The sequence below is a fragment of the Homo sapiens genome, chromosome 21 (genome assembly GCF_000001405.40).
Source record: "Homo sapiens chromosome 21, GRCh38.p14 Primary Assembly".
Taxonomy (NCBI): domain Eukaryota; kingdom Metazoa; phylum Chordata; class Mammalia; order Primates; family Hominidae; genus Homo; species Homo sapiens.
The window spans coordinates 35,442,382-35,467,404 of NC_000021.9; the positions used below are offsets into that span (position 1 = coordinate 35,442,382).

At 39.4% G+C, this 25,023-nt stretch overlaps 1 long non-coding RNA gene across 1 annotated transcript in view; it reads right to left on the reverse strand.

Moving 5' to 3' along the window:
- LOC100506403 (uncharacterized) overlaps positions 1 to 25,023 on the reverse strand; it is a 208,258-nt gene that overhangs the window by 69,875 nt on the left and 113,360 nt on the right. The window contains exon 2 of the long non-coding RNA NR_073512.1: positions 19,580 to 19,644. This is a non-coding gene — a long non-coding RNA (uncharacterized LOC100506403). The remainder of the gene's footprint in view (positions 1 to 19,579; positions 19,645 to 25,023) is intronic.

A 25,023-nucleotide genomic window follows, 5' to 3' on the forward strand; every position in this document is an offset into this window, starting at 1 on the left:
ATCTATACCTGGCACACCTGCACCACACAGGAACACCACATATCTGCACAAGGTATCACAGGCATACCCGTCACACACATGCACACACTTTTTTGCATGTGTATGCCAGAAACACACTATACATCTGCACCACTCATAGGTAATACAAACTGGCATCACGCACACAAACACCACATGCCTACATTACACACTGTCGTGCACACACAGCTGTACCACACGTCTATAACTCACATCATACACATTCACCTCGTATGCAGACAGGCACTCACATATACACTGCACATAAACAGTGCATACCTATACCACACACTCCTCACACCTGCTCCACACACTCACATGCATGCATACCCTCAACCTACACATCATATGTGCTGTTCATCTGCACCACACGTGCCCCACAGCTACACACACTCACCCAACTGCAGATTCCGAGCTACCTGCTGCTATCACCTTGCTCTTGAGACATTCCCTCAATCCTTCTCCTCCTTTCCCCCTGCCCTTTGGCCTCATCCTATTTTTCCTCATGGGTGGCCCAAATACATTTCCCAAAGTGTCCATCCAAGAAGGCTCCCGCACTGTAGGCATCTCTGTATTTTCTTCCCACCCACATTTGACTTAGCTACTCTTTGTGAACCAAGTTCTTTATGTTCAATGTCAGTCCAAATACTTTTGTTTCAACTTAAATAAATGCAGCAAATAGTTACAGATCTTTTTCTGTGCAAAGCCTTAAACTAAGCATGTTGAGGAGGAAAAGTGATGAATGAGACGACGCTGACATTCATTCATTCATTCATTCAATGTATTAGCTAGGTACTGGTGAGCCATGGCCAGCATAGGGAGGAGGTACTTGATAAGTTTCTTCCCAGAACTCTTTAGATTCCAGGGAGTGGGCAGCAGGGTCCTCTTCCCTCTTCTGAGGTGACTTCTGGCCCCTACTACAACTCCAGATGGTTCTCTGAGTATGGAAGAACCATCCACGCCAGCAGACAAAAATTAACATTCTTATAATATTAACAATAACACTAGCAGCAAAAAAAAAAAAAAAAAAAGCCACCTTTTAGTGAGGATAGTATGGATATGTAGGGCATATCTACATACTAAAATATGTAGCACTATGCACTACACATCTTAACTGGTAATTATTCCTCCAGATATTATCAATCCATTTTCCAGGTCAGAAAATAGAACTGTGGGATGAATCTTGCAGGTGGAGAATAGAAGTTTCAATCCAGGTAACTGACATGAGCCAGCGGCTGCTTCCTTTCCATTTCAGCACATGCAGCCCCTTCTCCAAATTCAGACAGAGCTCCCTTGATTGTGCAGTCTGAGGCAGCATCAATGCAACTCACAGAAATGGTGGACATCTCTGTCTCACCTGCTCCGCGTCTGTTATCAGGGAGAGCAGTGTCATAAAGTCAAAGGCATTAAAGGTAAAAGCAGGCATTCAAGACAAGAAGATGAAACCACAGTGGGACTTTATTTCTTTTTATAATTTGAAACAAAGCCTTAACTTAGAGTAAACAGGCTTTGGCAAAGAGGTGACTTCCACCATGCAAACCATGAATTCCATTCTTCTGTTAGGATGGTCTCCCTGTTCTAATGGAGCCACATACCTTTGTGTGGCTGGTTACACAGTGGGTATCCAGGTAGTAAGGACTGATTTAATTTCTCCATGATTCAGGCTTGTCCAGACATTTGTCCTCAAGCTGTATTTGAGGGCAGCAAGGATAAAGAGTCTCTTGGCCAGAAGACGCTCCCTCATTCACCTCCCACTTGCCCTGTCTGCTGACCTCCAAGGAAATTCAGTCCTGCAGTTAACATCTGTGGTCCCATCAGCTGAGTTGAAGTAAAAGGTACTTAACGCACGCAGCTCGTTTTGCAAGGTTAGAAGGAATCAATAGGAGATGTGTTTAATGTGGTATCACTATCAGGGCTCATCACACTTTTAAAACTGAAATATCCACAGTGCTGTATAATCTTAGTCTCGCTGTAAAGAGAATGGGTTTAGTGTGCTTTAAGATAGATTTCATGCCTATTACAGATGCACACACAAAAAAAATGGGTGAGTGTCCTCAAATTTCACTATTACATATCTTCTTACATATCTTTTTCTTTTCTTTCTTCCCTTTCTCCTTTTCTTCCTTTCAAGCATTCTCTTCTCTCTCTTTTCCCATCTCTCTCTTCTCTCTCTCTCTTTTCCCTTGCTTCCTTCCCTCCTTTCTCCTCTCTTTCTTTTTCTATCTTTCATTCTTCCCTTGAATTTTAGGTGTCTAATTCCCTCCCATGGAAATTTGCCAGAATTTCAGCAAACCACCAAAAAGAGCTAGCTAGGTGATTTCTCTTTGAGTTCCCCGGAGCACACAGGTCTTCTGTAAGATTGAGGCTTGGAAACTCTCTCATCAAGGAGAGGAGCTGATTGGAACCCACAGCCTTATAACAAACCTGACTTTTCCATAAGTTTTTGTGAAATTATTCCGAAAGAGAAGCCTGTCTGAACAGAGCATAATTAAAGATAGCACATTGTTCTTTTGCTGAGTAGATTGCAAGGTAAAAAATCCTTGTTGATATTCACACATCATACATAAACACTAGTGGAAAATTAGAAATAGTAAGGTCAAGAGTGTATTATGTGTTTGTGGGGCAATGGAGGTTCTCTTCAATTTCATAATGACCTATGTAGGGAAATCATGGTCCATAACAAAGGGAAGTGTCAGAAGAGATGAAAGAAAGCAAACCTTGGTTAAACAGTCCCTATCAGCACTAGCACAAGGCAAAGATATGGATATTCAGCTCTATGAGCATTTGTCTATGGCATTCTTAGCACGTAGTTCTGATTTAAGAATAACTCAGCAGTACAGTCTAATGCTATTCCCTCAGATGACTGTTTAGAGAAGTGACTGAACTGCTTGACTTGGAAACTTACTGATAACTACCACTGGTACAATTTTCAGCCAAAATGACTAAACTGGGAATTAACTTATATTGGTTTGCTAGAGCTGTCATAACAAGTACCACAAACTGGATGACTTCAACAACAGAAATATATATCATTTCTCTCACAGTTCTGGAACTCAGAAGGCCAAGATCAAGGTTGGTAAGGTTGGTTCCTCCCGACGGATGTGAGGAAGAATCTGTTCCAGGCCTCCCTCCTAGCTTCTGGAAGCTTCAGGAGCTCTTCAGTTTGTTACATTCTCCCCATGTCTTTACATCACCTTCTATTTGTGTGAGTCTGTCTCTGTGTCCGAATTTCCTCTTTTTTACTAGTTTCTCTTGTTTTGTGAGACAAACTCTCACTCTGTTGCCCAGGCTGGAGTGCAGTGGTGCGATCTCTGCTCACTGCAACATCTGCCTCCTGGGTTCAAGCACTTATCGTGCCTCAGCCTCCTGAGCAGCTGGGATTACAGGTGTGTGCCACCATGCCCAGCTAATTTTGGTATTTTTAGTAGAGATGGGGTTTTGCCATGTTGGCCACGCTGGTCTTGAACTCTTGGCCTCAAAGTGGTCCACCCACTTCGGTCTCCCAAAGTGCTGGGATTACAGGCATGAGCCACTACACCTGGCTCAAACTTGCTGTTTTCTTTATAAGGACACCAGTCTCATTGGATTAGGACTCACCCTAATGATGTCATCTAATTTGATCATCTACAAGGACCCTATTTCCAAATAAGGTCACATTCATAGGTGCTGGGGGTTAGGGCTTCAAATATATATATATATATATATATATATATATTTTTTTTTTTTTTTTCGAGATGGAGTTTCACTCCCGTTGAGCTAATTTTGGTATTTTTAGTAGAGACAGGGTTTCTCCATGTTGGTCAGGCTGGTCTCGAACTCTGGACCTCAGATGATCCTCCTGCCTTGGCCTCCCAAAGTGCTGGGATTACAGGCGTGAGCCATCGCGCCTGGCCAGGACTTCAGATCTTTAGGGGGACACAATCCAATGCATAACAACAGGCATTCGTTTTCACATCCACATGTTCATCACTTAATTATTATCCTTACTGAGTTGTAAATGCATACTGTATGTCACTTTATATATTCACACCAAATTCTCTTTCATATGCCCTAAATGCCTCTGAATAGAGGGGCTTACATGCCAAAAAGGAAATGAAATTTCACTTATTTTCCCTATTTGACTATCCAGAGAATGAGCCTTTCCCATGGCACAGGACAAAGATGCAACCCATGCCATAAAGGGTTGAGGTCCCAGCCAATCCAAACAGAAGTGTCCATTGTGGAATGAGGGTACCCATTGTCATAGCCACTGTCCTTCCTCCAGGAATTCACCAAAAGTGAGGATGAGGCCTAACTAAGCTAGACGTGGTTATATGAAAGCAGTACTCTGTCTTTCAGGTAAGCGATAAAAACTAGTTCATGACATGGGTAAGCTACACATCAAATTGAGTCTTTTGGCAATATTACATAAAATCTGACACGACTTATGAGGTTGTCCATCCTGTCTCATTAATATCTAAATTACTAAATTTCTTTTGCTGATTTTCCTCCACATGTTTATAACATTAAATATGCAAAAAAGTACTTTTTTACTAATGCCCTTATACCAAGTTCTTCATAATTTATTTTTTTCTTTTTTGTGAGACAGTGTCTCACTCTGTCATACAGACTCTGTGATCCATCCATCCACTGCAGTGCTGCGATCTCAGCTCACTGCAACCTCCACCTCTGGGGTTCAAGCGATTCTCCCACCTCAGCCTCCAGAGTAGCTGAGACTACAGGCACTTGCCATCATGCCCGTCCAACTTGATGGGGTTTCATCATGTTGGCCAGGCTGGTCTTGAACTCCTGACCTCAAGTGATCCTCCCACCTCAGCTTCCCAAAGTGCTGGGATTACAGGTGTGAGCCACTGGGCCTGGCCAGTCTCCATGGTTTAAATATCGTTTCAGTATCAGTGTCAAAAATTTGGTGAACATATAAGTATCAAATAAGTCTACAAATCCTGTGATTATGGCCCCAGGAAGGAAGTAACAGGTGATTTCCCTTCAGAGAATCAGCATTTTGCCACTCCAGGCCACCACTTGAGGAGTAGTATACCTAAAATATCATAGCTAAAGGTTAGGGCTTCCTTAACTTGATTAACCCAATTTAGGGCCCTACTTGAAGCCACAGCAGATTGTACTCAATCTTACTATTTTATTTTAAAATGAAGAGTGTATGTACAAGGTTCCCAGTTTAATAATTTAATAAGCCCACTAAAAAGTGTCTCAGATCTGAGAAACAAGCACTTTTTACATGAAAAAATTCAAAACTAAAGAACAATCACTTTTAAAGCACAAAGGAAGGACAACTGAAAAAAGGAACTGTGTGTTTGTAAAAGTAAGAATATCTTCCATCACTTGGATTTATAGTATATTTCATTTTTCCTGAATAAACCACATAGACATTAATGTACCATTTAAGTTTATTTGCAAATCAAGAACTTAATGGCCCCTTAAAACTGAAGGTAATTCTGATATCTATAATATTCATTCTTTTTTACCTTTGGTGGACACTGCAATGAAGCAAATGCACGTGATTATTCTCAGTCTCCTGATGGAGATGGATAAAAAGTACTAGATCCCTATGAATGTTTTTTCACATGATTCTCTATATGTAGTATGGCCACTGTCAAAACTTTGGGAAAATTCTGAATTTTGTTATGCTCATATAATCTACATAAAGACAAAGACCAGTTATGTGCCTAACCAAGAGCACCTCATGGCCTGATACCAGCAGAGTGAAGAATTGCAGCTAGACCATTCATCCTCCTGACTCCAGCCTCACCCCACTTCCACTCACCCTCTGTGTCCTTTAGTTCTGAGCCACTGAACCCTATAATTCAGCACCTTCCTCTTTCAGGAGGTCATCTCGGCTTTCCTGGTCTGCTTGTGAACATTCTCACATTTACCCATTTATTTCTATCCTAGGAACCTCGTTCCCCATGCTCTCTATCCCAGATGGCTCACAGTCTTAATAATGCACCAAAGGTGAGGGCGGAAAAGCTGAGCAATGGAACATATTGACCTAGGTGCCCCGAGGAACCAGACACTCATGTGACTGGATGAAAACGAAGGCTCTGGAGCATTGGCTTTCTCATCTGTATAATGGATAAACTATTTCCAAAACCAAGTTGTGATTGTGAGAGTCCAAGGATCTAGTGAACCTGGTCAGAGTAAGTGCTTAGCAAATGTTAACTATTTTATTATTAGTAATAATAACTAGTTATTATTGTTAATATTTTACCATCTAGATAGGTATCAATACTTTACCATCTAGATTGTTGGTCAATATTTTACCATCTAGATAGATGTGATCTATTGTTTATCATCATATCATGAATATATTTATATTTTAACAGCAAATGAGACACTGGGGCTCACTGACTTTACCATTCTCATCTAACAGATGGAAGGGAAAGGTGATCTCTACAGCAGCTACCAGCAGACCCAGGGCTAGGACTCAGCTGCTCCAATTCCCTAATTCCTAACTTGTCCTTGGCACTAGGAAGTTTCTCTCTTGAGTCCTGAGAATCAGAGAATTGATGTTCACCTTATCAAATAAGATCTTTTAAGATTATAAACTCAGCAAGAGAGGAGACTGTTTCATAGTTAGAGTCCCAATTTCCTCTTCATTCTCTTCTGCATTTGGGGGAGTGGAATGCTTTGAGATATCCCTCTAAAGCTTCAAGATACTCTCCTGGGAATGCAAGAGCTTGCCCAGGGTCATTTGATGTCAATGACACACCAATAAAAATGATGCTAAAAATAGCATTAGTTAACATTTTCCAGAATCCATATCTTCCTTATTAGACATTAAAAATCTCTAAAAATGCAAAACTATTTTTTCTTCTGGTTGAGTAGACCCTCTCAACTCTATTCTTTCACTATTATGAGAAAAGCACACTGCTTCCCTACACTCTCACACACAACTTCTGACACCGTATGTAAGAATAGTGTCACACTATCCACCCGGAGATAGTGCTAGATCCCAGAGCTTAAGAGCTCTGCCTCACAGAACTGCCCCCACTTCATACGCCAATCACAAGCCCCAGGCTGTGGCCTGTGCTTTTGACCCAACAGCTATAAACTAGTAGTTCCCATGACTCCCATCCTTGGGTTTTATAATTTGGTAAGACAGCTCATAGAATGCAGGGAAATACTTCACTATGTTTACCAGTTTATTATAAAGGATAGTACAAAGGCTGTACATGAACAGCCAGATGAAGAGGTACCAGTAGCAAGATACTGGGTTGAGAGGGGAGAGGGTGGAGCACACAGTTTTCATGACATAAAGCTTTTTCCATGAAAAAGGTAATAATATATGTGTATTGATTTCCTAGTACTACTGTAACAAATTACCACAAACCTAGTGGCTTAAAACAACACAAATGTCTCATATAATTCTTAAGGTCAGAAGTCTAAACAGGTGTATTAGGCCATTCTTGCGTTGTTATAAAGAAATACCTGAGGCTGGGTAATTTATAAAGAAAAGAGATTGTATTGGCTCAGGGTTCTACAGGCCGTGCAAGCATGGCACTGGTATATGCATCTGCCTGGCTTCTGGAGAGGGCTTCAGGGAGCTTTTACTCACGGCAGAAGGCAAAGCAGGAGCAGGCAAGACACGTGGCAAAAACAGGAGTAAGAGAGAGCACAGAGGTGCCATGCACTTTTAAACAAGCAGACCTCATGTGAACTCAGAGAAAATCTCACTCATCACCGAGGGGATGGCGCTAAACCATTCATGAGGAATCTGCCCCCACGACCCAATCACCTCCCACCAGGCCCCATCACCAGCATGGGAATCACGTTCCAACATGAGATTTGGAGGTGACAGACACTCAAACGATATCATTCAGCGCGATGGCCCCTAAAATATCATGTCCTTCTCACCTTGCAAAATACAATCATCTCTCCCAACAGTTCCCCAAAGACTTAACCCATTCTAGCCCCAATTCAAAAGTCCTAAAGTCCAAAGTCTCATCTGGAGATGAGTTTCTTCCACCCATGAGCCTGTGAAATCAAAGACAAGTTTCTTACTTTCAAGATACAATGGGGGTACAGGCATTAGGTAAACATTCTTGTTCCAAAAAAAAGAAATCAGCCAAAAGAAAGGGGCTATAGGCCAGCAGGGCAATCATTAAATCTTAAAGCTCCAAAATAATCTTCTTTGACCCCATGTCCCACATTCAGGGCACACTGGTGCAAGGGACGGGCTCCCAAGGTCTTGGGCAGCTCCACCCCTGTGGCTTTGGAGGGTGCAGCCCCTGTGGCTGCTCTCACAGGTTGTCGAGTTCCTGTAGCCTTTCCAGACCCCCACATTTCCCCTTGGCATTGCCCTAGTAGAGGTTCTCTGTGATGGCTCCACCCCTGCATCAGGCTTCTCCCTGAGCACCCAGGCTTTCACATATATCCTCTGAAATCTAGGTACAAGTTGTCAAGCATCCTTTACTCTTGCGTTCTGAGCACCTACAGGCTTAACACCATGTGGAAGCCACTAAAGCTTATGGCTTGTGCCCTCCAGAGCCATGGCCCAAGCTACACCTGGGACGCTTTGAGCCAAGGCTGCAGCCAGAGAAGTGAAGATGCAGGGATCAATTTCCTGGGTGGCTTAGGCCATTCGCGTCTCAGGCTTGGCCCACAAAACCATTCTTTCCTCCTAGGCCTCTGGACCTGTAGTGGGAGGGGCTGCCTTGTAGATCCCTAAAAAGCCTTCAGGGCCTTTTTCCAAACATCTTGGCCATCAGCACTTGGCTCCTTTTTAGTCATGCAAATCTCTCTAGTAAGTTGTTGTTCTGTGGCCCACTTGGATGCTTCCTCTAAACCTAGGCTTTTCTTTTCTACCACATGGCCAGGTTGCAAATTTTTCAAATTTTTATGTTCTGCTTCCCCTTTAAATATAAGTTCCAATCTTAAGTCATTTCTTTGCCCCTATATCTGCCAGTCCACCTCTTAAAGGCTTTATGGCTAAGAAATTTTTTCTGCCAGATACCCTAAATCATCACTCTCAAGTTCAAAGTTCCACAAATCCTTAGGACATGAACACAATGCAGGCAAGTTCTTTGCTAAAGCAGAACAAGGGTGACCTTTGCTTTAGTTCCCAGTAAGTTCCTCATCTTCATCTAAGATCATATCAGCCTGGCCTTCACTGCTCATATCTCTATCAGCATTTTGGTCACAACAATATGACCAGTCTTTAAGAAGTTTCAAATTTTCCTCATCGTCCTGTCTTCTTCTGAGCCCTCCACACTCTTCCAACCTCTGCCTGTTACCCAGTTCCAAAGTTGCTTCCTCATCTACAGATATCTTTATAGCAATGCCCCACTCCTTGGTTCCAATTTTCTGTATTAGGCTGTTCTTGTGTTGTTATAAAGAAATATCTGAGACTGGGTAATTTATAAAGAAAAGAAGTTTAATTGACTCAAAGTTCTGCAGGCTGTGCAAGCATGGCACCAACATCTGCATTTGTCTGGCTTCTAATGAGGCCTCAGGGAGCTTTCACTCATGGTGGAAGGTGAAGTGGGAGCCAGTACATCACGGGAGAGTGGGAACAAAAGAGTGAGGTGGGAAGTGCCACACACTTTGGTGATAAGTGAGTTCTTGCTCAGAGTTTCACGGAAACTCACTGAATTTGCATGAAACTCTGAGCAAGAACTCCCTTATCACCAAGGAGATGGTACCAAACGTTTCATGAAGAATCTGCCCCCAGAACCAATTACCTTCCACCAGGTCACACCTCTAACATTGGGAATCACATTTTAACCGAGATTTGGAGGGAACAAATATCCAAACCATATCAATGGGTCTCTAGGTTAAAAGCAAGGTGTCCAGAGGGCCATGCGCCTCCTGAAGTCTTCCATCTTCTATAGACTGCTCACTTTCCTTGGCTTCAGGCTCCTTCTACTGTCTTCAAAGCCAGCAATGGTGCCTGGAGACCTTCTTGCACTACAGCTCTCTGACCTCTCCTGCCTCCCTCTTCCACTTTTATGGACCCCTGTGATTACATTGGACCTAGCAGAATAATTTCAGATATTCTCCTTACTTTAAGGTCTGTTGATTAACAACCTTAATTCCATCTGTAACCTTCATTCTTCTCTGCCATGTGAGGTAATATGGGTTCTGGGGATTAGAATGTGGACATCTTTGGAGGAGCCATTATTCTGTTTTCCATAAGATGTAAAGTACCTGTTTAGTTCTAGTAGTTTTCTGTCATAGAGAATTTATTTTTTCAACTGAAAACACAGACAGCCTAATTAAAACTTAATTTAATGCTAATACAGCAAATGGGTTTACCACTTTGTGTTGAATTGCTTCACCAATTCTGGGTTTCTTGAGAAAATCTTCTCTAACACCCCCATTTCACCTGGGGCTCTTTGACTCACATGGCATTTAACAACCAAGACAAAATTGGAATCTGGTGTCCTGTGAAGTGGTTTCTCCTTATCACATTCCACCATCATGAAGCCCCTTGAAGTTACTGCTCCAAAAAATAGTGACTCTCCCCTGATTCAACAGAGTGGACTGACCTACAAGGCAGTCTGCACTGGCTGATCAAAACACCCATGTACATTCCAGACAAAATTCGTGGAAAGCATAATTTTGTTTTAATGCTAGGACAGAAAAAAATTTCATCAGCATTCAGAGTATTTGTTTAAAATTCTGACATGTATACACAAGCATTTCATCCTTTGTATAATCAAAGGCCTTCATACAATAAAACTACTGGGTTGGTGCAAAAGTAATCACAGTTTTGCATCAACCTGATACATCTATCAAGTTTTGAAGGGAAAAGATTTTATTCAAGAATCTTGTCAGCCGAGCACAGTGGTTCATGCCTATAATCCCAACCCTTTTGGAGGCTGAGGCAGGTGGATTGCTTGAGCCCAGGGGTTCAAGACCAGCCTGGGCAACATGGCAAAACCCCGCCAGTACAAAAAAACACAAAAAGTAGACAGGCCTAGTGGCATACACATGTAGTCCCAGTTACTTGGGAGTCTGAGGCAGGAGAATGCTTACCCCAGGAAGTTGAGGGTGCAGTGAGCCATGATCCTGCCACTGTACTCCAGCCTAGGTGACAGAGCAAGACTTGTCTCAAAAACAAAACAAAAAATGCAAATTCTGTGGCCCAAAAAATTGTTGTCTACATGTGAAGGGACCTGAAAGAGGTTTTGAGAAAGCACATAGGCATCCCTGGGCATATTTGTTCAGGATCTACTTCAACTTACTAAGAAAAAAATCCTACAACATAATATGATAAAATTTCTATAAGCCCACTCTAAAATCACAGGTGACACCAATGAAAACTGGGAAGTGGGCCTAGATATAATATGGAAACTAAAGACTACTAATCTTCTCACTTTACATAGATGCGAATCAGTATTTAGTGCTTTTATTTTTATGTAGGTAGTTTAATCAACATTAATGTGTTTAAAATATTAATATTATTAAAAGCATTTTGATAACAAAGTATATTACTAGTAGAATTTAAAATAAAATTGCTACAGAAAAGAGCAAAGAAAACAGAGTTTATATTTTTTAAAAACTTACTAGGGAAATAGCAGGAAAAAAATTTTTTTTAATGAAATAAGATAAAGAAAGGAAGCACAATTACATCAGTAATAATAACATAAACATCTACCCTAAACTGCAAAGTAAAAGACAGCCACATGGTTTGATTTGGTTAGTTCAAGTGGTGAGTTAATCAAATTCAACCTAGTATTATTTAAAAGCCCTAACACTTAAAATAAATTGGCACATAAGTATTATTAAGTGATTAGGCAAACATGTAACAGCTAAAGGCAGGAAGAAATAAAATAAATATAAGAAGAGAAAATAGAAATTTTCATATTCTTATCAGGCAATGGAGAATTAAAAGAAAAAGCCATCTCCTGAAATGAAGAGAGTTATAGTATTTTGATAATAAAATCCAAAAGGAAAACATGAAAGTCATAAATCTTTATGCTCCAAATAATATTGTTCAAAATATAGTAATCACAAATCATTAGAGGAATAAAGATAAGTTAACAGTAGTGGGACCTTCCTCCATCTTTCACAGTTGAAGTATACAAATATATATACACCTGGGTGGGGCGTAGAGAAAGAAGTTCCAAATAACAATAAGATTTATTAGGTTTACAGAAAGTTTGGTGTCTTATGAGAGAAAAGGATGATATATTTCCTATCAAGCTTACAAAGAATATTGGCAAATACTAATTATATAGTACACTATATACTCTTATAAGCCCAAAAAATAGAAAAAAAGACAGTCCAAAATTATCACATCACAAATTATTCTCTACAAAAAAATTGCACCACAGTGGCTCAGGCCTGTAATCCCAGCACTTTGGGAGGCTGAGGTGGGTGGACCACCTGAAGTCAGGAGTTCAAGACCAGCCTGACCAACATGGAGAAACTCCATCTCTACTAAAAATACAAAATTAGCCGGGCATGGTAGCACATGCCTGTAATCCCAGCTACTCAGGAGGCTGAGGCAGGAGAATTGCTTTAACCCAGGAGGTGGAGGTTACAGTGAGCTGAGATCATGCCATGGCACTCCAGCCTGGGGAACAACAGCAAAACTCCGTCTAAAAAAAAAACAAAAAAAAACAAAAAATAATTGCACTAAAAATCAAGCACACCATTAAGGATTATTTTGACACTAATGAAAGTGAAAACATAATTTATAAAAACGTCTGGAATGCTGATACAGTTATATACCAAAGCAAATTTATAGCTTGTAAGCCTTTTATCAGGACGTCAGAAAGAATGAAAATTACTAAAATAAGTGTTCAATTTTTAAAAATGGAAAAACAAGAACAAATACAATTTAAGGAAAACAAAAAGGGGAAAATAACAGCAGAAATTAATGAATTAGAAAATAAATTAGATAAAATAAACAAATCTAAGAGTGGATTCTTTGTAGAAAAAAAATTTCTGATCAAACATTTAGCAGGCCTAATCAAATAGAAAAGAGAAAAAACATACATACATAAAACTGGGAATAACAATGAATATGACCACAGACATAAGTAAAAATTGTGTAATATCGTATTCTGACAAATTAAAATTTTAAATTAAGCAGATGATTGGTAAAGAAAACATAAAAGATGCCAAAAAGCTTAATGAATAAATAACTAGGGAAGAAAATTTCACAATTTTCTAAAATTTCTCGTAGAGAAAGATGGAAGAATTTTCCATTTTTTTATGCCAATCTCTACATGGATATTTGAAAAAGTGAAAAACTCCAGAAATATAAATCTATGGACCAATCTTCCTCATAATTATGAATGAAAAAATTCTAAATCAAATATTGACAATTTAATTTGGAAATGAGTCTAAAAATATTATATCATGTTCAAGAATAATTTCCTCTAAGAATGAAAAAATTATTTACTATGGAAATTTCAAAAGAATTCACTGCATTAGGTCAAAAGAGAAGATGCTCAAGGGTATTAATTTATTAGAGACCAAAATGTATTTGACATGTATATAGCATCTGATACTGATTTTCTCAGTCTTTTAATAAAGATAGACATCTATATGTCTTAAGATGATAAAGACCACTATTGTTCACTATTAGCCAGTGGTCTTTAATGCTAAAACACCAGAGATATCCATATTAATATCTGAAAAATACATGATACCTTCTATAATCACTATTTTTAAAAATTGTTCTAAATGTTCTGGCATTGCAAAAATACGCTTTAGTGGCGAGTCACAGTCCATAAATATGGTGGAAAAAGAGGCAAGTTATTAGAAAAAGAAAATTACAAAACTTAACTGAGGGATGAAAAAGAACCGCATGAAAGAAGTGACAAATTATATTTTAGAAAAGAAATATAAATATTAAAATTCTTCCCCCAAATAATTAATAGGCATAATTAATTTTGTTTAAATCCAGTAAGATTTTTGGAAACATGGTAATTAAACGCTAAAGTACATCTGGGAGAATGGAATACTTAATAATTGACCATTCAGTTAGAAAAGCAAGAGACAGAGCAGTTGATTTCAGAAAATATATGAAATTTATGAATATGTAGTATAATTATATGTAGAAGCATATATATTATAAATATTAGTTAAAATGACAAAAATGAAAACAAATTTGAAGGTGCAATACAATACTCTAAACCTAGAATACTAGGTATAGAAATTATGGAATAACTATATAGAGATTTCAAGGCAGATGTTAAACATCATGCAGAAAAATATTATACCAGTAAGTCCATGTTCACATATTTAAAATGATCCCAATCCTACAAATATATATGCACATAAACTATATATGTAATACATAAAATATATTTGTGCTGTCCCCAAAACATTTTTTACTTATAAAAAAAATGCTGCAGTGTGATACCAGCCATAACAATCCACATCAACGATGTGGCATTGCTATGTTGATTCTCTCTAAATGACATGTTTTTGGATGACTATTATTTTCTTTTTGTGCTTTTCTGTATTTTTCATATTTTCTGAAAGGAATGTGTTATAATATCAGAAAAGATATTTTGTATGAATAACACCGTACTAGTATTGTGCATAATGTTTTGCATAATTCTAATTTTTTAATCAAAGAAATCTTTGAAAATCTTATAAAATTGTTAGCACTTTCTCCAGAAAAAAGAAACGCATTATATACAAGTAAGCATCAAATTTTATATAACTTTACAGATTTTATAGACCCACTGAAGCCCATTCAAGCGTTCCAGGTGAGAAACAGACTGTGGAAAAGTTCAAAGAAATTCCTTAGGCATTATCTCAATGGAGTCTCATCAAAACTTTGTAGACAGGAATAGCTACTACTTTTGCCAATTTAAGAATGAATAAACGATGCCTCAGAGAGGTAAAGAACACACAGTTGACAGGGACAGAATTCACACCAGTGGCCACGTCCTGTTGCCTTACCACTGTGAGTTTCATGTCGTAGCACAGGGTGGTTTATTATACACGGAACAGGATATTGTCAAATAACAAAACCAGACCTTGAATCCTGATTTGCCCGTGAAATTTTGAAAAACCTCCTGACTTTACCATGCCTTGGTTTCATCATCAATAAAGTAGCGATAATAACACTTGCCCTGCATATCCCCCAGAGTTGTTATGGAGATAAAATGTAGGGGGAAGCACTTGCAAACATAATTTATCTTTATTATTATTAAAACATAAACGTGTCTATTACGCATCTATTACAACTCAGGCCAGCACTGGGGTAAGTGCTGATGGGACCTAGGTGGAGGAAGAAAAAGACAAAGCACCTTACTAAAAGGCAATTAAAATGCACCATTCTAGTTCAAAAAGTCTGTTTCCATGAGTAATTAGCAATCTATTATGCATCTGACAATGGTTTGTTGGCTATTACATCAGTTCCATGTGCCCATCCTGTAAAGTGAATCAACACAGCAGGGAGTTCCCAGCTTTAAAAAATGTTTGCTTTCACAGGTATCTGTCTAATTTATCTCTGTGATTTAATTTTAATGATTAAAATTTTAAGTTAATTTTGAAGTCTGCTCTTTTTCCACCGCATTCACCACAGACTTGCTGAAGACTCCAGGACAATTAAGGCACATAAAAGCATAACAAAGCTCCCTCTCCCTATTTGACCCTATCAGGCTTCATATTCTTACTGTCAGAGGTAATTCACATGCCTTGATACCCCGGATATTTTGTTTGCATAAGTAGGCTAGGTCTTTCATAAATGTGAGTGGAGTTGCAGTGTGTGAATAAGATGCTGAGCTAGTGGTCTCTGAGGTGAGAACACTTCATGCAACTCAGTTTTCTTGTCAGTAATCTGGGTATCATGAAGCCAGTTTTAATGGGAAAAGTCTCTGTAAATTACAATGGCCCATGAAAGTGGAATAAAACATGATTTTTTGCATTTAGAACATCCCTGAGCCAGTTCCTTCCAATATCTTCTTCATCACAAATAGTCTATGACATCACCTAATGTACTTAATAGTCTGCCTCTAAAACTGAACTGAGACTCACGACCGATGTTCTTGTTTTGGGTTTTTGCTGCGGATTGCGCTCACCCATTTAGATACCCCTTGTTCACTATTCACCAGGGGATGGGCCATCTGGATCCATTATCTGTTTTATTTCTTATGTACCCCACAGAAGAGTAGTTAAAGCGAAAAACTTTATGTGCTGATCCATTCATCCTTAGTCACAACCCTTCTACTGTTGCTCCGGAGTGACGGTTATAGAGCCCGTAAGTGTGAGATCACTCCAGGCTGCTCTTCTAACCTCTAAATGGAATCAGTCCTCAGGGATGGATGGAATTTCACTGCATTTGCCCATTTCATTTGTATAATGAAATCATTGTTTGGCCTTTCATTCTGTACTCTTGCCCTTTTTGGTCTTAAGGTGGACCATTCAGTAGCCCCTTCCTATTTCTCTACGAAAACTAAGAATCATAAATGGACTCTCATCAAATCTCAACAATTTCATGTATTTGTAAAAATATCACATCAAATACATTCCACCTTCACAGCAGTATCTATTTGTTATATACTTGCATGTATTTATATACAAATAGAAGTGAATACGTATATAAATCTATAATGTGCGGACGTGGTAAAACTCAAACCGTCACCAGAAAAATCAATCGCTTATCATCACTGATTGGGTCAGTCGTGTGACGATATGATCCATGTGTGATCGGGTTCAACTCCAAAGAGCAGCATGCAATGAAACATTAGCCTTCCCTGGAATCACCTGGTGTACTTGTTAAAATAGAGACAATCATACCTCGCCCCAGAATTACAGGTGGTTTATGGAACAGAGATAAAGTTTTTAAAAAATGTATTTGTTGATTTATAGCCAAAATCTCCCCAATGTTACATGGAGGGCAACAAAAGGGAGAGTTGTTGAGTAAATTACACAATATTCATTTAATGGGAACCCCACAGTGATTAGCAAGAAGCTTATTAAACAGAAAAATGCATGTGGTATTATGATAAATAAAAAGCCAACATAATAATTGATGGATCAGAGAAAAAGGTCAGCAGTAAATCAACATACTTGGGAAGCTTTAGTTTTGAGCAAAGATGATCATTCAAATCAGTAGGGAAATAATGTATTATCTAAGAAATAGTGGTGAGGCATCTAAGTAGCTACCTAAAAAATTGTATCCCCCTTTACACTTACACCAGCACAAATTCCAGAATGAATGAAAGTAAAGCCATAAAAGCAATAAAGGAGAGCATAGAAAATATTACAATCTCAAAATAAGAGAGTTTTCCAACACTAATATAAAACCCAAAAGACAATAAAAAATACTGATCGATCCAACAGTGTCAAGGCCTGTTTTTATATGCTCTTTCTCCCCAAATAAACACCATAAACAAAAGGACAAAGAACATACTGGAGAAAATATTTACAACTCTTAATGTACAGGGCTAATTAATACATGAGTCATTAAAGGTCAATATTTTTAAAATTCCATTAAAAATGGGTAAATGACAAAAAAAATATAGAAAATAAAATATGATAGCTTTTCATCATATACAAAGTTTCTCAACCTTACTTATTCTCAGAAATAGACAACAAAACTTCAGGAAGATACTATATTTCACTTTTCAGGTTAAGAAAGATCAAAAGCTTGATGACACACTATGTTGTGGAGAAATGAGCACTGCCATTCATTGCTGGTGGGCGTGTAAACTGGTAAATCTCTAGTCAATTAAAATATAAAACGCACACACCATTTGACCCAGCACTTCCATTTCCCATGAATTTCTCATGCAGTTGAGAATTTAAATTTTAAAGGAAAATGATAACTCTTTCTTGGTCATAGTCCTAAGGTATCAACAAGTCACTTGTTGTTATAAACAAGTCACTTGTTTGATGTTATAAAGACATCAAAATTGGCCGGGCACAGTGGCTCATGCCTGTAATCCCAGCACTTTGGGTGGCTGAGGCAGGCAGATCATGAGGTCAAGAGATGGAGACCATCCTGGCCAACATGGTGAAAGCCCGTCTCTACTAAACATACAAAATTAGCTGGGCGTGGTGGTGCACGCCTGTAGTCCCAGCTACTCGGGATGCTGAGGCAGGAGGACCACTTGAACCAGGAAGGCAGAGGTTGCAGTGAGCCGAGATCGTGCCATTGCACTCCAGCCTGGTGACGGAACAAGACTCCGTCTCACAAAAAAAAAAAAAAAAAAAAAAAGACATCAAAATTGATCCGTGACAATCCACTTTCGTAACATACTTCTGCAGGCTAGCCAAACAATCCCAGCCATACTTCTGAAATCCAGCTATTAGCAACAGGCACACTCCAAATGCCAAGCTTTCACGGCTAAAGGTCAACTAATTTCTAAACACACTTCTCGCAGTGTTTTAATTCCTGAACTTAATACTTCCCAAACCCTATATATGATCAACATTTGCTTTGTTTTGACAGAACCGTGTCCTACAAGCACTGTTGTCTCTTGTTTAGCAAACAATAAAGTCAGGTTTTTGCTTTAGATATTGAGTGGTAGCCTTTTCCTTCCATCCAAGAACTAGAACATAGGAGAGACAGCATATGCATAAAGATGTTCTACTCTTTTTCAAAGCATTGTTTAACATAGCAACAGGTTGCAAACAATGTAAATAATCTCGAAGGACCAGTAAATTAGAAAAACAGAAACACCACATGTGTCCTGGAAAGGGAACTAGCTGGCATGGGGCAAAGGAGGGAAGGAGAGACCAATACATTTCATACACACAATTTTGGAGTTCATAACATTTTGCCCCATAGGCAGATATTACATATTAAAAAGTAAGTTATTTAAAGTCAGAATTTTAAATTGTATGTGTAAAAGGAAAAAATACATATGAAGTTGGTAACAAACCAGTAACTGTTGGTATGCTAAATTATTGGTGGAATAGTTTTTTCAATGTCTGTTTCCCTAAACATTTCATAATGTTGTGACATAACTTATAATTTTAAATGGAAATGATTTATAAATTTCATGCACAATATCAAACCAAAATGCAGCAAATGAGATTATTCCATTGCAAGTTGGCATATAACCACAATATTGAAGGGGCATAAAGCTAATTTCTCTTATTAGGAGAAATAACCAAGGAGAAAAGAGGAATTAGAGAAGTCCAATTACATTGCATGAGAGAAACTGACAGAACAAAATCTTCCTGTAATATTAAAAGGCTTCAAACAAAGCCCGAAACCTCTGTGAGACTTGAAGCTAACACTTCCATTCCCAACAGCTTGGAGAGCAACACTCCTGTTGCACTGGAACTCAGGTGCAACTACAGACACATGCATTACTTGTCTATTTTTGCAAGTAAATAGTTGCAAAATACACAAGTAATGCATACGTATTGCAAACTTTGCAATTACTTGTCTATTTTTTAAAGTACACCTAGTAAAGAGTAGATGCATATTTTGCTTTATTTTAAATTAGTTCTTTCTCCCTGATATACAAGTCCAGGAAAGATCCCAGCAGCCTCTACTTCCAGAAGACAGCTACATGTACAGCACAATACCAATCAGAAATGACATCTCCCAATATCATATTTGCTGAGTCACTCAAGTACTCAAAAAGAAAGAAAAAATAGACCTTAGTTTTCTTACCACTTTGCCGTGTGCTCTTGGAATTCAGAAGCCAGGTTAAGCTTTCTTCTTTCACCTGGAGACCTCTAAAAGGGAAGAAATAGTAAAACAACTGAAATCATGTTGCTTAAAAGCTATCCTGAGCTGTTGAGGGGGGAATAAAATAGTACATTAAAATGATCCAAAATATCAAACAGAACTATTTTCATCCATCATTGGATAGTGACACATTACTCAGACTGTGCCGACTTGCAGGGTGAGGTTAAGTTGCAGGGTTTCAGCCACCCATCAATCCTAAGGTAACTCACAAGGCATATTTGTATTATTCCATCACTTAAGACAACTTTAATCCAGTCCCCCATTCCATTTTCATTTCTAGTCTTGAAATACTTAATACAGGGTAAATTGATTATAGAAAAAAGTAACACTCTTGGCATAGAATTTAATTTTTGCAGTTTATTCATTTTAATTGGTGTCTACACTCAAAACCTTTGACAAACAAGAAATTTGAAAGATCTGATAATTAAACAGTTAATCCAAACTTCCTCCTGTAGGAAAAATTGTAATTTTTAGGACTAAAACCAAAAGGCAAACTTTGAATATATTTGTATTTCTTTTCATGTTTGAGAAATCACTTAAATAATCACTCGTATCAGTCTTATACATAAAATTTATAGTTTTAAAAGTTTCTTTCAAAGGCTATCATTAGGTGATCTGGCACTGTCTAATAAAATTAAAAATACATAAGGCCAGGCACCATGGCTCATGCCTGTAATCCCAGCCCTTTGGAAGGCCAAGGTGGGGGCATTGCTTGAGCCTAGGAGTTCAAGACAAGCCTAGGCAACATAGAGAGAGACCTAGACTCTACAAAAAAATTTAAAAATTAACCAGGCATGGGTGTGCAAGCCTGTAGTTCCAACTACTTGTGAGGCTGAGGCAGGAAGATTCAGTTCACAAAGTTGAGGCTGAAGTGAGTGGTGATTATGCCACTGCACTCCAGCCTGAGTGACAGAGCAAAACCCTGTCCCGAAAAATAAAATAAAATGAAATTCTTATGCTACAATTCCATTTCTGGGGATCTGTAAAGGCACATGTACCATGATACTCATTACAGCATTGCTATTTGGAGGTCAAGAACTAGACATCATGTTAATGCCCATAGATGAAAGAATGGTGGGATAAACCCATGGAGCAATGTTATATCCACTGGACAGACTATGAAGCATTCATGAAAAGTAATTAAATAGCATTAATTATATGTTAAAGAACCTTGTCAACGATTTTGATTCAGACAAGCAGCAGGTAGAAAAGCAGTAGGTAGAAAGAGAACAAAATGGTTACTATATATATACATACATACATATATATATACACACACACACACACACACACACACACATATAAACAAATTGTAAAACTAAGCCTTCATATCAGTTATTCCCAATCAAGAGTGATATTACCTGCTAGGGACATTTCGTGATGTCTGGAGACATCAAAGCTGTGGGGAGCATGCTCTTAGCATCTGGTGGGTGGAGGCCAGGGATGCTGCTGAACATGCCTCAGTGCACAGGACAGCCACCACAAAGACTTATCTGGCCCATGTGTCAATAGCACTGAGGCTGAGACATTCCTGTATGTGGATGTGATATGATTTTATAATTAAATTACATAAGTATAGAAAATGTGTGGAAGCTCACACACCAGGTTGTCCACGTAGCTCATCTAGCAAGAGATGGAGGCGGGGATGAAGGCTGAGATGCTAGTGGAGAGGAAGTAGTAGTAGACGGAGGTGCCCAGGGTAGGGTCAGCTTTATAATACAATCTTATCTCTTATATCTTGTTATGCTTCGGCTCTGTGTCCCCACCCAACTCTCATCTTGTAGCTCTCATAATTCTCACGCACTGTGGGAGGGACCCAGTGGGAGATGATTGAATCATGGGGGTGGGTCTTTCCCATGCTGTTCTTGTGATAGTGAATGCGTTTCATGAAATCTGATGGTTTTAAAAAGGGAAGTTTCCCTGCACAAGCCCTCTCTTTGCCTGCCGTCATCCACGTAAGATGCGACTTGCTCCTCCTTGCCTCCCGCCATCATTGTGAGGCCTCCCCATAAATGAAACTGTAAGTCCAATTAAACCTCTTTCTTTTGTAAATTGCCCAGTCTCGGGTATGTCTTTATCAGCAGTGTGAAAACAGACTAATACATACCTGTATCAAATTACCTTGAAATTATTACTGTCATGTTTCTTTTTGTTCCTTAGATGCAGCAAAGTAAAGGCATAACTTTAAAATTTCACTAAACCACACTCTTCCCAGATAAAAGAAAAATAAACCCAACTTGGAAGGAAACCCCAACTTAAAGGCCATCAAAGGGAGAGAAATGATAACAGCCAGCCTGGCCTTTGGCCAATCTTTGTACAATATTGCTTCGATTCTCCTAAATAATCTTGTTGATTTCAATTAATTTGAACTGGCCTCACCCTCTTCCACTGTTCATATAAGTAGTGTGGTATTTTTATTACACAATAGGGAATTTAATTTTAAATAGAGCAGAGCACCAAAAATATGAAAAGTCACTCATTAACTTTGCATAGATGTGAGTATGGCTGGTGTGGTTGTTCCACTTTTCCTGCTAGCAAATCCACAAGATACACTTCAAAATGAGTATTCTCCCTTATGTCAGACGTGAACCACACCTAGTCAATGCCATTTCTGAATTAAGAAGTAGTACTTTTTGTCATCTTTCCTAAACTGTTAGTCTTCAGGTGTTTTGTGTAGATCTTAGCAAAGTCACAGAGCTTCATTGTATTCTGAGTAAACCCCTCTTTGATGTAAGCCCTTGTGAGGCTTGTATATGGCTATATGGCATTACTGTCAGACATCAGCACCACCAAGAAAAAGTACCTATTCTCACTAAATGCCACATGTCAGGTTCCTGCATACACATAAAATGCCAGGAATGCAGAGGGTGATATGGGAGGCCAAACCGATCCTCACTGTTCATCAGAGGAAAAGAACATTTTTTTTGTACTCCTATTTCTAACTCTTCCCAGGCCCTTGCCCCTTGATTCCATTCACCCTGCTCTCACTGGGGTGATAAATTCTCCTTCTCTCATTTTTTGCTCCCATTGGTTCTTTTCTCACTCCTTCCCCATAATTTTATTTTACTGTGGAACATTTCCTTACTGGCCTGTAATGTTTTGTGATTCTCAGCATAAAGTATTTTTCCACCTGAAGTCTCCTTACCCAAATATCTATCCTCAAGCTATTGTCTGATTGCACTTCCAATCTCATGAAGATACTGTCACTAGTCCGGCCTACATATCCATACTCATTTGTGTGCACTAAGTGCTTGTTTTCTGATTACCCCTCTGATGAGATGACACCACAACCCTTTGATGCCTACTCTGTTCTGATTCTCAAGGTCTATTTTAACTTTCTTTGTTATGTCACAAAACACAGATTATAAGACTATCAGAGTACAGCTGGGAGCACTGGCCCACAGTAGCCAATAGGTTTCAATTCCCCTGCTAATGCCATTCATTGGAAAGTGTGTTTTTGCAGTGTCCAGAGGAATGCCCCGTGGCGGAGGCCACCATGATGCATCGGCAGTGTTGGCATCGGTAGAAGTGGGTAGTGGCAGTGGACATGGCCAGCATCTGTTTATTGTCCCAAAACCAGTCATAAGGGACCTTTTGATGACAGGGAAAATCTAGGGTATATGTGCCTGTTCTATGTACCTGAAGTGCATTTAAGAGTGTGGATATATACATAGACATGCACACAAACTACCTGTGTGTGTCTCCAATGTGGAAAAGACCAAAGGTGTTTGTAAGCTGTAGACAAGATACCAGCAGAGATTTCTTCTTGTTTCTTCCATATTTTCCAGTAAAGTCCAAATTCCTTCCTGACATAAACTTCCTCCCTAGCCTTCTGTTGGGCAACTCTTTGAAGAGCCACCCAGAACATGCTTCTTGCCAGCTCTCATGACTGGTTCCTTCACTGTACGCAAGTGTCTGCTCAAAGGTCACTGTGATGGTTAATATTAGTGTCAACTTGATTGGATTTGAAGGATGCCTAGATGGCTAGTATTGTTTTTGGATGTGTCTGTGTGAGTGTTGCCAGAGGAGACCGACATTTGAGTAGGTGGAATGGGAGAGGAAGACCCACCCTCAATGTGGGTTGGCACCACCCAATTGGCTGCCAACATGGCTAGAACAAAGCAGACAGAAGGGATTTGCCTTGTCTCAGATGAGATTTTGGACTTTAGACTTTTGAGTTAATGCTGGAATGAGTTAAGACTTTGAGGGACTGTTAGGAAGGCATGATTGTATTTTGTAATGAGAGGGACATGAGATTTGAAGGGGCCAGGGCCAGAATGATACAGTTTGAATCTGTGTCCCCACTAAATCTCACGTGGAATTGTAATCCTCAATGTTGGAGGAAGGGCCTGGTGGAAGGTGGTTGGAATATGGAGGCGGAGTTTCCATGAATGGTTTATCACCATCCCCTTGGTGCTATTCTTGTGATAGTGAGTGAATGAGTTATCACAAGACCTGGTTGTTATACAAGTGTGTGGCACCTCCCTACTGTCTCTCTTCCTCCTGTTCCAACCATGTAAGACACCTGCTTCCCCATTACCTTCTGCCATGATTGTAAGTATCCTGAGGCCCCCCCCACAGAAGCAGAAGCCACTTTGCTTCCTGTACAGTCTGCAGAACCATGAGTCAATTAAACCTCTTGATATGGTTTGGCTGTGTCCCCACCCAAATCTCATCTTGAATTATATCTCCCATAATTCCCACATGTTGTGGGAGGGACCCAGTGAGAGATCATTGAATCATGGCGGTGGTTCCCCTATACTGTTCTCATTGCAGTGAATAAGTCTCATGAGATCGGATTGTTTGATAAGGGGAAACTCCTTTCGCTTGGCTCTCACTCTTCTCTTGTCTGCCACCATATGAGATGTGCCTTTCACCTTCCATCATGATTGTGAGGCCTCTCCAGCCACGGGGAACTGTCAGTCCATTAAACCTCTTTTTTTGTAAATTGCCCAGTCTTGGGTATGTCTTTATCAGTGGCATGAAAACAGACTGATACACTTCTTTTCTTACAAATTACCCAGTCGCAGTTATTTCCTTATAGCAGTGTGAGAATGGACTAATACAGTCACCTCCTCAGAGAAGCCATGTTTGACTATTGTATGAACAGTGCCTGGCCCTGCCTCCTGGCTGTTCAGCCCCGGCCTCACTCTATTCCATAAGCCAGCATCATTTTCTTCACAGCATGTGTTCGCTTCTGATGTAACACTATCGATGTTTGCTAGGTTATGTGAGTCTTAACCCTGTATTCATCCCCTGCCCACACTCACTGTATTGTGATCACCACCATGGGAAGGGCTGGGCTGTCCTCTGGACCAGGCATCTACCACAGGGCAAGGCATGAGGTGGACACTGGACAGAGGTTC